A 13,425-nucleotide genomic window follows, 5' to 3' on the forward strand; every position below is an offset into this window, starting at 1 on the left:
TTTCCACAAACCATTTCTGCAGCCTATCAGTAGGATTGCCTGATTGATCATTCCCAGAGATTTGGGCAGAGTGCAACTAGGATGCCTATTATCCCTGGCAACAAATAACCATGTTAAAAACAAATGTTCTCCACAGCAGATGCAGCTGTGGAGAACATACAAACTCACAGAAAGAATATGGGCAAATAAAAAAGACATTTGCAAAGAAAAAAGATTTCAAAAGCTAACATAACTCCCCCAGTGCCTGGCACATTTATAGGTACCCATGAAAAGAATATAATCACCATGTTCAAACAAGAAAGCTAAACTGAACTGTTCACATTCAACAGTGACATAGGCAGATAAGAAATGTACCATCAGCAGGGAATAAATAATGTTACCCAAAATGACACCTAAAGAGCAAAGGATCTAGAGAGGTGTCATGAAATTTTCCAAAATAAAATCTCAAACTAAATCAACTTAATTATTAAACAATGTAAATTTGAAATGGGGGTAGAGTGAAGAGGAAGAATTGAAAAATCAAACAAAGAAAACTATCAGTTGAGCTTTCCCTATGACAATGAGAGTAACTGTCAATCGATAACAATGACTATGACCGTAAGTATAACCATCAAAACATATTTAATAAGAGGATTGAAGGTGGTAGACATTTCCCATATTTATTCATTAGCATTCCATCACAGAGAAATCAGCTACCTTTTGGTATATGTGCTAGATTAGTTCAATCAATGATTATTAGCATATGTTTTAATGTCCAAAACCTAAGAGCTGTTGCTGTGCCAAAGAAATCAGGGTGTAGACAAAAGAAATGCAAGGAATCCAGCCTCACCTTTTAAAGTTTTCATGAGACACAGCTTCATGAAGAAAACACTTGTGTATTAATACAAGAAGTTTAACTCAAGAGTGTGTGGGTAGCATATCAAGCAATCAAAGGTAGCTGAGCACAGGAAATGGAAAGAAACAACATAAATGCAGAAAGAATTCAGGCATTGACTACACACCGGCCCGTGAAACTGGCTGCTCCCTTTTCTATCAGATCCTACTCGGTCTGTCATTGGATGGGCAGTTAGTAGAACCAGGGACTAGACAGGAGTTAAGCACCTTATGCATCCCCTTTTCTCTCCACCAACTGCATCTATTATCAAAATACAAACTACTCCCCACCGCCCCCAAAAAAGTGCACTTCAGTTGAAAGTAGTACTCTGGTGGCACAGAGAATGGTATTTCCAATGTCTTTTTCTCAGATTGTTTATGTATTTGCACAGAGTGTTAGCTAAGTCCCTTTATTATTTTTTGCATCACAGCTTCCCTCCATGTTTATTTCTCTGGTTTACACCAGCAGTGTAGTGTTATTTCTCCAAACAAAGGAAATGTGCCAAAGTATAATTTTATAGTGGTCTCCACTAGCCTCCTTCTTTGCCCCCTACCATTTCAGGCTGCTCAGTTCTAGTTTTCCCCACAGGGAAACTTAGTCAAGGATTTTGCATAATAGTTGGGAACTTGTCAAGGATTTTGCATAATAGTTGACATTTTGTGTGTTATGCCTGGCACTATGCTAAAGGTTTCTTATGCATTATCTTATTTGGTCAGTAAAACAACTTTATGAGATATGTTTTTCTATTATCCGCATCTCTAAGATGGGGAAATTAAAGCTTAGAGAGATTAATTCACTGACCAAAGGTGAGCAGAGCTGGATCTGAGCTAGAAGAGGCTAACTCTAAAACCCACACTCTTTTTTTTTTTTTTTTTTTTTGAGACAGAGTCTCACTCTGTCGCCCAGGCTGGAATGCAGTGGTGAGATCTCGGCTCACTGCAACCTCTGCCTCCTGGGTTCAAGTGATGCTCCTGCCTCAGCATCCCAAGTAGCTGGTACTACAGTCATACACGCCACCATGCCTGGCTAATTTTTGTATTTTTAGTAGAAGCGGGGTTTCACCATGTTGCTCAGGCTGGTCTCGAACACCTGACCTTGTGATCCACTCGACTCTGCCTCCCAAAGTGTTGGGATTACAGGTGTGAGCCACTGTGCCCAGCCTTTTTTTTTTTTTTTTTTTTTGAGAGAGAGTCTCACTCTGTCACCCAGGCTGGAGTGCAGTGTCACGATCTTCACTCTGCAACCTCCGCCTTCTAGGTTCAAGCGATTCTCCTTCCTCAACCTCCTGAGTAGCTGGGATTGCAGGTGCACACCATCATGGCCGGCTAATTTTTGTATTTTTAGTAGAGACGGGGTTTTGCCATATTGGCCAGGCTGGTCTTGAACTCCTGACCTCAGGTGATCCATCCACCTAGGCCTCCCAAAGTGCTGGGATTACAGGCATGAGCCGCCATGCCCAGCCTAAACCCCCCATTTGTAGCCACTTCAATATATCTGCTGTCTTTTAAGAAAATGTCAAATCTGTCTAAATTGCCTTTTGAAAAATGAGAAACAACAACAACAACAAAAAAAAAACGAGCAGAAGGCACATTCTCTCATCCTGACTCCCTCCCCACACAACCCACGTGGAAAAGACCTTTACTTATAATTTTATATGAAAGTGACTAATGTACCAAGCTCAGTGCACTTTAAGAGACTCTTTCACTTTTTAAAAAAAGAATTGTGAGCAAAGACTATATTCTCAACAAATACTGTCTTTCTACATCAATTAAGGGATTGCAAGTTTGCATATAGAGAAAATAGGTCTGTACTCTCATTTATGGAATTTAGTCTGGCATTTTTGAGGTAACCATTCATTAGGAACAAAGTTTTGTTTTACAGCTTTATTAAGATAGTACTGATATACAATAAATTATACATACTTAAAGTATAAAGTTTGGAAATTTTTGACATGTTTACTCTGTGAAAACATTACCTACTCAAAATAATAGACATTTCTATACTTCCTAAAGTTTTCCTTTATCTTTGTTATATTTATGTCCCACTCCCCACCCCTTCCCCAGGAACTACTGATCGGCTTTCTGAGACTGCATATTAGGTTTCATGTCACAGATGTTTATATGAATGACATCATGTAGTATATACTCTTTTCCTTCTGGCTTCTTTCACTCAGCATAAATATTTAAGATTCATCTGTGTTGCAGTATGTATCAATGGTTCACTTTTATTGTTGTATAGTATTTCATTGTGGGAATATGTCACAGTTTGTTTTATCCATCCACCAGTTGATGAATATGTGGGTTGTTTCCAGGTTTTGACTTTTAAAGTAGAGCAGCTGTAAGTTTTGGTCTGAATATGTGGTATATCTAGGAATAGAATGACTGGATCATATAGCAAGTCTATGGTCAACGATTTACAAGCTGCCAAGTTATTTTCCAAAGTGATTATTGTACATTTCCACCAACGGTGTGTGAGAAGTGTGTAGAATAACCTTGCTTTTCTCAAATTATGATCAAGAGTTAGTACCTGGCTCCTCAGGGAAAAGAAATGAAAATCCTGGATCATAGTCCCTTATGGACCTTTTGTCTTCATTAGAAAATTATGTAATAAATATATCAAGCAAGGTCTCCTGGAATGAAAATTTTATGACACCACATGAAGATAAAAAACATGTTTTGAATAAATTAAATAATTAGCTAATTGTTTTGGAGATCCTTGACTAAGACATGGAAATACCTCTTCAGAATTGCTCAGGTCTTCTGAGGATGCATCTGCATATGACACTAGGGCGAGGATGTGTGACTCAGAAATTCCACTCACTGGAAGTCAAGGCATATTTTTTTTTTTTTCTAGCTGGGCTTAAAGCCAATGTCACCATAACTTTAATGGACTCAGTGTAGCTGTGAGTTGTATTATCTCAGGAGTATAATCATAAAGATAAGTTGAAAACAGCATTCCAGGAGATTGCCAACACTCTATTATAAAGTAAATAAATACAGATGGGGCACTACACTGAAAATGTGGCATGAAGTTGCCATCCACGGCAGAGGTCAACATTTGGACCTGATAAATGAAGCCAAGTCATAGATAAGAAAAAAATATCTAGGACCAAAAGAACAAATATTTAAGAGTGGAGCCCTCAGAAAAAGAAAGAATCATCCATAGGAATAAAAGAAAAAGAAAGGTAAGGAGTCTTCTGGCATAGAAACGGCAGCATTTAGGATGAACTGTCCTCAAGACTATCTCCAATGCTGTTCCTTCTTCATGACTGAATCCCCTACACTTGCTGTCTCATCTCCCTAGGGTCAGCTGGACCTGTTGGACTTGAGGTGTCAATTTGGATGTTTAATTTTGATTTAAACTCAATTTTAGATACTTTTCTCTTTTGAGATCTTCATATTTAATCCATTATTCAAACTCGTGTAGCTAATGAAATGATGGGGGAGAATAGAAGCCTTAGTTTTACATATACGATCAGTATGATGGTGATTTTTTTTCCTGTATAAATTCTATGTAAAAGAAACCTGGTTTGAACCCCCCCCCAAATTAGAGTTACTTCCTAATGATTTTTAATGTAATCTGATTTTTTTTTCGGGCTTCTTTCTTGTGCTTGTTTTTCAGACATATGAAGGAGGGTCTTTTCATATTAAATTGTTTTCCTGGCAGCACCTGAACCAAAGGATCAGACTTAAAATAAGTCTTTTTCCAATGTTATGTTGAAATTGGATACGACATTTCTCACAAAACTTCTAAGTCAAACAGTGATGAGAAACTACTGCCTAAAAGGTACCTATTTAAGACAGAGACTATATATAGGTTTTTTAGAAGTTCTTGTTCTTCTCCCTCTGCAAAGCACCACACATATCCATGTTTCATTTATAAATAGATTTGAAAATTACTTTCGTGCACCTGCATTAACCATTTTCTGTTCTGTATGATGAAATACAGTCCTTGGGAAGATTTTTCCTGGGTCATGGTTTAAAAAAAAAGAGAATGCTGAAGACTATGACTAAAATTCCTTTGTTAAAGCCCAAAGTCAATCAAATCTATTTCCATCCTTAGCAACATGTGGTTCCATTAAAGTTAATCACTTTTCTATTTCGGTGTATAGGCATTAATTCCCTACTTTAAGGAGTTTAATAGTTGAAGAAAAAAAGTACAATTCCAGAAATAAGTACTCTCATGAACATTTGCAGAATATTTGTCTTGTCCGAGATGTTTCAGAAACAAATAAATGAAATGTAGGAAACAAGATATGGGCATGATGCACTATTTCCTTGAAAGAATGCATTGGCCATTTGTCATGTGGGGACTTAATACCTTTTATTGTATTATATTCTTCTATAAAGGTATTCTTCTAGACATCAAGCATGAGAGTTTCCAGAAGCCATTTTTTTGCTATGTTCTTTAGTTTGTGTTCTCTAATACAACTCCAAGAACCATACCGGAGAACCAAACAGAGTGGTTCTGGCCAGGGCTCACTCTTTCTCTGTTTCTCTCTCCTGTCATCTCTATTTCAACAATATCTCTTAGCTTTGCTTCTCTTTGGGTGCAGCATTATTCTCTTCTACTGCAAATAAGAAGATTCCTCCAGGTGTCCAGAAAGATGGTCACCAGTGGCCCTAGGCAAACATTATTTGAACAACAAGATGTACTCAATTAGATTATTTATTTTTGCCTACACAGTTTATACAAGTTACAGATAAAATAGTACAAAGTTGTATTTGCTATTATTTTCTCTTTCTAAAACCTTCCCTCTACCTTTAGTTGTGTTCATTTTCTTATTTCTAATATTATACTATGTACTTGTACTGTCTTTTTTATCTTGACCAATCCACAGATTCTGTATTTTACCAAAAACAATTTGTACATTTACTAAGTTTCCACTTTCTCCTACTTTTTATTCTTAACAATTCAAGTTTTTTCTTTTCCTCCTACACATTTGGTATGAATGCTTAGCGTTTTTTCCCCCAATATATTCTCTTTTCTAACAAATGCACTTAAGGCTAAAATTTTCCCTCTGCCTACAGCTTTGGCCACATTTCACATATTGTAATGTACTGTTTTCTCATTGTTCACTTATAATATTTATTATTCATTTTTATTTACTCTTTAGCCAACAGTTTTCTAAATAAGTCTTTTAAAGTTTCCATAAAAAGATATTTTAGTTGTATTTTAATTGTTAATTTTTTTATTTAATGTATTATGTTAAAAATATTTTATTATTATTATTATTATACTTTAAGTTTTAGGGTACATGTGCACAATGTGCAGGTTAGTTACATATGTATACATGTGCCATGCTGGTGTGCTGCACCCATTAACTCGTCATTTAGCATTAGGTATATCTCCTAATGCTATTCCTCCCCCCTCCCCCCACCCCACAACAGTCCCCAGAGTGTGATGTTCCCCTTCCTGTGTGTAAAAATATATATATATATAAAAAAAACAGTGGGAACAGATAGCAAAGACAGAAAAAACATTTTTTTAAAAGAAAAATATGTGTAGCATATATGACATATTCTTTAGAATTTGCTACAAATTCAAATTTCCTACCTGGTTAATTTAATTTGGAAAGTTTGAAAAATACATATATTCTCTTTTTCTTAGAGATATCTAATCAAACTTGTTCTTTTAAAAAAATTTATAGCAATTCTTATTTTTGTTTACTCAAATAATTGAATTTTGAAAAGCATAGTAATACTTTACATTCGATTGTAGTTGTTACTTGTTTCTTGTATTCTATCAATCTTTGCATTATATATTTAAAATTTAAGTTTAATGACTGTCATTATTTTGGTGGATTATGCTTCTTTTTTATCAATAATTACCCTAGGTTAAGTTAAAATATTCCTTAGATTATATTTTAACTGATAATATTGCTACACTTTATTTTGTTACTTTTTTTTTTTTTTTTTTGAGACGGAGTCTAGCTCTGTCACCCAGGCTGGAGTGCAGTGGCTTGATCTCGGCTCACTGCAACCTCTGCCTCCCGGGTTCAAGTGATTCTCCAGCCTCAGCCTCCCGGGTAGCTGGGATTACAGGCGCCCACCGCCACACCTGGCTAATTTTTGTATTTTTAGTAGAGGTGGGGTTTCACCATGTTGGCCAGGCTGCTCTCGAACTCTTGACCTCAGGTGATTCGCCTGCCTCAGCCTCCCAAAGTGCTGGGATTACAGGCGTGAGCCACCGCACCCAGCTTATTTTGTTATTCTTGATTGATAAGTATTTTGACTCTCATACATGTTTACTTTTTGACATATTTTCTTTCTTAGAATTTCTTGGTCTTATTTTATTAATATGCTATCTCTTGAGTGTTTTCAGGGATATTAATGATATATATTTTTTAAGTATTCTGTTCTCTATCAGTTCTATTTCCTCGATTTGTTTTTTCTCAGTTGTTTGGTGATCTCTTGTATGTTTGAGAATCTCTATTTTGCAATGCTGTGGTTACAGGCTTTTATTATAGGAGTTTGTGATCAGTTATAATGGAGGAAGGGTGGCCTATGCTACCAGGCCAACTGCAGAGCAGAGACTGTTAGTGACTTCCTTTTAGGGCTTGAGGGCTTCTGCTGCTCCTGGGACCTCTCTATCTCTATGTCTCTCTGACTCTCTGGTTCTCTCTCCCTCTCTCTCTCTCTGTTTTTCTCTCTCTTTCTCTCTCTCTCTCTCTCCCTGTCTCTCTCTCTCTCTCTTTCTCTCTCACTCTCTCTCTCTCTGTTTTTCTCTCTCTTTCTCTCTCTCTCTCTCCCTGTCTCTCTCTCTTTCTCTCTCACTCTCTCTCTCTGTTTCCCTCTCTCTCTCTCTTTGTCTCACCAGGTCCCAACACATATGCTTACCAACCTGCATCATGGAGGAAAAAACACTGCAAAAAAAAAAAAAAAAAAAAAAAAACAGAGAGAAAGAAAAAAACCACCTCCTGTTTCAGCAAACGCATGGGAAAGGAAAGGGACTTAAGTGGCTTATAACTGGCTCCACTATATTAAATACAGTTTTACAAATATGCACCTTAAAAATGTCCTCAATATAATCGGATCATGACTACATTTCTGACATGAATTCATGAATTTCACAAAATTCTTGCATTCAAAAACAGATTATTCTGAATATATATACATGTGTGCTCATATATGCATATGTTTGTATGCATATATATGTATAGGTATATATACATTTACAGTCATGTTCCACATAATAACATTCCAGGCAATGACAGATGGCATAGAAGATGATGGTCCCATAAGATTATAATAGAGCTAGAAAATTACTATTGCCTAGTAACATCATAGCTGTGGTAACGTCATCGTGCAACACATTACACACGTGGATGTGGTGATGCTGGTGTAAACAAACCTACTGTGCTGCCAGTCATATAAAAGTCTAGCACATACAATTATATAGGTAGTAATGCTTGATAATGATAATAAACTACAATGCTACCGCCTTATGTATTTACTATGCTTTTTAATCATTGTTTTAGAATGTACTCCTTCTACTTATTTATAAAAAAAGTTAACTGTAAAATAGCCTCAGGCAGGTCCTGTAGGTCCTTCAAGAGATATTCCGGAAGGCATTGTTATCACAAAAAATGACAACTCCATGCATGTTATTGCCCTGAAGACCTTCCAATAGGACAAGATGTGGAGGAGGAAGACAGTGATATTGATGATCCTGACTGTGTCTAGGCCTAGCTTAATGTGTATGCTTGTGCCTTTAACAAAAAGTTTAAAAAGTAAAAATAAAATTAAAACTTTTAGAAATAGTAAATAAGCTTTTTAGCTTATAGAATAAGGATTTACAGAGAGAAAATATTTTTGTACAGCTTTACAATGTGTTTTTTAAGCTAAGTGTTATTACAAAAGAGTAAAATCAAATTAAAAAAATTTTTTAATTTATAAAGTAAAAAAGTTACAATAAGCTAAAGTTAATTTATTATTGAAGATAAAAAACTTTTTTAGTATAGGCTAACTCTACAGAGTTTATAAAGTCTACAGTAGTATAGCCCTTTATAAGTGTATCATTTTTTATCTTTTATACCCTATTTTTATTTTACCTTTTCTCTATTTAGATACGTTTAAGGACACAAATACTTACTATTGTGTTACAGTTGCCTACAGTATTCAGCACAGTAACATGCTGTGCAGGTTTGTAGTGTAGGAGCACTAGGCTATACCACGAAGCCTAGATGTGTAGTAGGCTATAACATCTAGGTTTGTGTAAGTACATTCTATGATGTTTGCATGACAAAGTCGCCTAATGATGCATTTCTCAGAACATACCCCCACAGTGAAGCAATACATGACTGTATCCACACTCATAATTACCATCTTGCTGTCTCCTGATTATTGTTCCACATGTGCGTTGTGCATGTTTTATACAATCCTCCACAAAATTCTCAGAGATGCTGAAGTAAAACTATTTCTTCTAACAAATGAATTATCTATCATGAGCTCTCATTTTGCATACTATTTTAAAAATCTGAATTTAGTCCATTTCCATTTTCCTCCATTCAATTCACTGATTCCTTTTTAGTTAAGCCTAATTTTGTATTTATTCATGTACTCTTGTTTTAGCCCTAACCCACACTCCTGGGATCCAGAGAATGGGTGGTACTAAAAGAACTGCCACTCTGCAGTGGTCGTAGAGCAGGGAGTCTTTCAGTCTCCCTCTGTCTCCATCCTATGCGGACATCCTTTTAATGATGTCACTTGACTCGTGTGGAGCTAGATGGCATGTGTGAAGCATATGATACCCTCACAGGGCAATTGGAAGTGGCTGGGTTCTCTTTTGCCACCCACCTGGATTGCAGCAGTGCCAATCCTAACCCACTGCTGACACAGTGCACTCACTTCTCTGCTTACTACTTTCCCAGTCCCAAGACCTCTTGGCCAAACTGCCACTTCTCTCAGATGTGGATTCTCCCATTCCACTGTCCCTGTGTCATATGAGCCTCCTAACTTCCAAGATTCAAGATGAGTGGCAGGACATGAGATGACTGATTCGCATACTCCCACTTAAAGTTAGTTGTATCATGTCCTACTCACACACACACACACACACACACACACTCCAGACTCCCAATGTGAGGGAGTGGCATAACACGTGGTCCCTACAATGCTTCTAACTTACTTATTTTCTAAGCTCTCCATTCCTATGAAATCATTTTATCCAGTATGAAATTCACAAAGAGAAACTTACTGCTTCTTGGCCTTTTGCTAAAGAGCAAGTGCAGAAAGACACACATATTCTCTTTGGCAGTGGGCCTACATCAAATCGTTATGGTCTCGTACCAAGATGTCTTTTGACTGAGGAAGCTAAGAATACGGCTCCTTGTTCTCACCAGTGGACTCCTCCTCAGCAGCAGGGGCTCCCTTCCCCACTACCCATGAGGGAGATGGTGGCAGTTCAACAGGAAAATGGTAAGTTCACATCAGTTAGCATTTTGAACAAATTAATACTCCGTATGCCATCTTACCATACATTTCTTGTCTCTGCAATGAGGCTGAGCGAGACTGTCCCAAATGTGTTTTTATCCTGAGTCTGAGGCAGGCTGAACTTTAATCTGCATGATGTGCTGCAGCTTGCCATCATGTCGGGACAGCAGATCCAGTCCCTTGAGTAAGCCAGTTGGTCACAGTTCAGGAGAGGCTGAGATGATCTGTGATGAAATGATGGATGAAATGTGAAGATCCCCAGCCAATCCTTAGAGACAGGGGTGCCATCTGAGTCCTCCCACTAGGGCCAATGACAGTTGGCAGTGACATATTAAAACAATTATGTCTGTTGCATTCTGTTTTTCATTGCCTAATTCTCCACTTTGTACTGCAAAACTACATTCCTCAGGACTTGAAAGAGAGACCACAAAATGTCACACCCTAGTTCTCTAATGTTCAAAACTAAGAAACACAAAACTCAACATGTACTGGACTTCATGTTTATTCACTGAAGATGTGGAAGATAAATTCTGTCTTCTTAACATCAAAATTCAGACCACCCTGCTTAGACCTGCTAATGCTTACAGCAATATTACATTATTTGTGAAATGACTATCCAGCATTAACCTAGCTTTGGGTTGTTTCAAAAACCCAATTTCTCTAAATGCATAGTATGTGTTGTCCTAATTTTATTTGATGGAATAATCATTTGGTAAGAATAGCATTTCTCTATGCTTTGATGAAATATATTCATCCTTGAGGCAAAGAACAAGTAACTATACAGAAGGAAAAATCAAAACCCTTCTTTGTGAGAAAGCCATTCGCAACAAAGCACTGCTTGGAAATTTAAAAAGAAGGTCCAATTCTGCTTCTAAAATTATTAATTAGAAGGAAGATTAATACCTTCCATAGTAACTGGAAATAATTGAATCAATTCTGAAATATCACCTGACAATTTTTCACTGTGGTGTTAATAATGTATTATTTTCATGATGGGGAAATGACATAAGTTTTTCATGTTTTGTGCATATTTAAAATAAGAATATTCATGAACAAAGGCAGCATGCCTTGATGGATTTAGAATTAGAAGTTAGGATCCCAGAGCTTGTGCTTCAATGAACTTTTAAAACATCACTTTGTTTTATTTGTTTGTTATATTTAACTGCATGAGAGGCGTGAAATTACCTGAGAAAAAAGAGGGCAATGTCAAATATTTCAGTACTGGACTGCCATCATCTTAATGGTGATATTGGAAGGATATCAAATCACATTTGCCTTATCAAGAAATTTCTATGTACAGGAAGAAAAATAATAGCACACAATCAACTTCTGGCAATGACAGTTCTCACTTTGATATGCCATAGAAGGTCACCAAAGCCAAAATAAACATCAAACTTTCCAACAAACACCTGAATTATTTCAAATACAGCAAAGCCTCTATGCCATACTAACTCGGTACCTGGCCCAGAGAAAGCACTCAGTAACTTTTTGTTTGAAACAATAAAAGAAAATGCTCAGTGGTCAATGTATTGTTTCAGATTGGTGCATTGATAAATGATAACTCAGAAAGTATTCGTTGGGTACCATGTGCCTAGGCTGAGGTATTACAAAGACAAATCGCATCTCTTTCTTCATGAAAGAGGCATGTAAAAAATTACAAGCCAATGTGTTAAGTACAGAAATAGAGTCACATAAAATTTTATGGGAATATAATAAAGACAAGTATTAATAACTCTGCCTAACAGTCTTACAGAAGTAGCCACAGAGTGACTAATGTATGAGCTGGTTCTTGAGGCATGAATAGGATTTAGGTAGGTGGAGAAGAGTAGAAGAGGATATCCCAGAAATAAGGATCAGAATGTACAAAGGCATGACATTAAAACAAAAAATCCTGTTTACCACACAGGGAGAAAGAAGTTCAGTATGGCAAGTTCAGGAGTGTATGTGTGAAGTGTCCCAAGATGTGGTTGGGAAGTTTAAGACAAGACCATCTTGTGAAAGCATTTTTAAGACATTCTAAGAATTTTGAATATTTTCCTGTAGGTATCAGGAAGTTATTAAAGTTATGTAAGCAGAAATACCATATAATTGAATTTGAGTTTTATAAAATTTGCTCTGTCGGCAGGAAGTAAGAAGTCTCAGTTTAGGGAGGGAGGGGCAGAATTAGGAGAAAAACTCTCAGGAAAGAAATTCTATTCATAAGCATGGAATGTTTTCCATTCATTTTGTCATCTCTGATTTTTTTCAATAATTTTTTCTTTTTTTCTTTTTCTTTTTTTTTCAATTGGAGTCTCACTCTGTCACCCAGGCTGCAGTGCAGTGGCACGATCTCAGCTCACTGCAACCTCCACCTCCCAGGTTCAAGCAATTCTGCTGCTTCAGCCTCCCGAGTAGCTGGAATTACAGGCATGTGCCACCACATCCTGCTAATTTTTGTATTTTTTGGTAGAGATGGAGTTTCACCATGTTGGCCAGGCTGGTTTCAAACTCCTGACCTCAGGCAATCTGCCCGCCTTGGCCTCCTAAAGTGTTGGGATTACAGGTGCAAGCCATCGTGCCTGGCCAGTAATGTTTTGTAATTCTTATTGTAGAGATCTTTAACCTCCCTGTTAGCTGTATTTCTAGATATTTTATTCTTTTTGTGACTATTGTGAATAGGAAGAATCAAAATCATTAAAATGCCCAAAGCAATTTATAGATTCAATGCTATTCCTATTAAACTACCAGTGACATTGTTTACAGAATTAGAAGGAAACATTCTAATATTCATTTGGAACCAAAAAAGAGCCTGAATAGCCAAAGCAATCCTAAGTAAAAAGAAAAAAACTGGAGGCATCACACTACCAAACTTCAAACTATACTACAGGGATATAGTAACTAAAACAGCATGGTACTGGTTCAAAAACACATAGACCAATGGAGCAGGTTAGATAACCCAGAAATAAAGCCTCACACATACAACCATCTGATTCTCAAAAAAGCTGACAAAAACAAGAAATGTGGAAAGGACTCCTTAAATGTAAAACCTAAAACTATAAAAACCCTAGAAATACCATTCTGGATATTGACCCAGGCTAAGATTTCATGAAAAAGGCTCCAAAATAATTGCAACAAAAA

The 13,425-nt window shown here is 36.8% G+C and overlaps 1 long non-coding RNA gene across 5 annotated transcripts in view; it reads right to left on the minus strand.

Moving 5' to 3' along the window:
• Positions 1 to 13,425, minus strand: part of CAV2-DT (CAV2 divergent transcript) — an 83,411-nt gene that overhangs the window by 6,721 nt on the left and 63,265 nt on the right. For 3 of the 5 annotated variants that reach the window (NR_188010.1, NR_188011.1, NR_188013.1), the window contains one exon: positions 10,350 to 10,532. The exons of the other annotated variants lie outside the window; for them this stretch is intronic. This is a non-coding gene — a long non-coding RNA (CAV2 divergent transcript). The remainder of the gene's footprint in view (positions 1 to 10,349; positions 10,533 to 13,425) is intronic. 5 annotated transcript variants of the gene reach the window in all.

Source organism: Homo sapiens, chromosome 7, assembly GCF_000001405.40.
Source record: "Homo sapiens chromosome 7, GRCh38.p14 Primary Assembly".
Taxonomy (NCBI): Eukaryota; Metazoa; Chordata; class Mammalia; order Primates; family Hominidae; genus Homo; species Homo sapiens.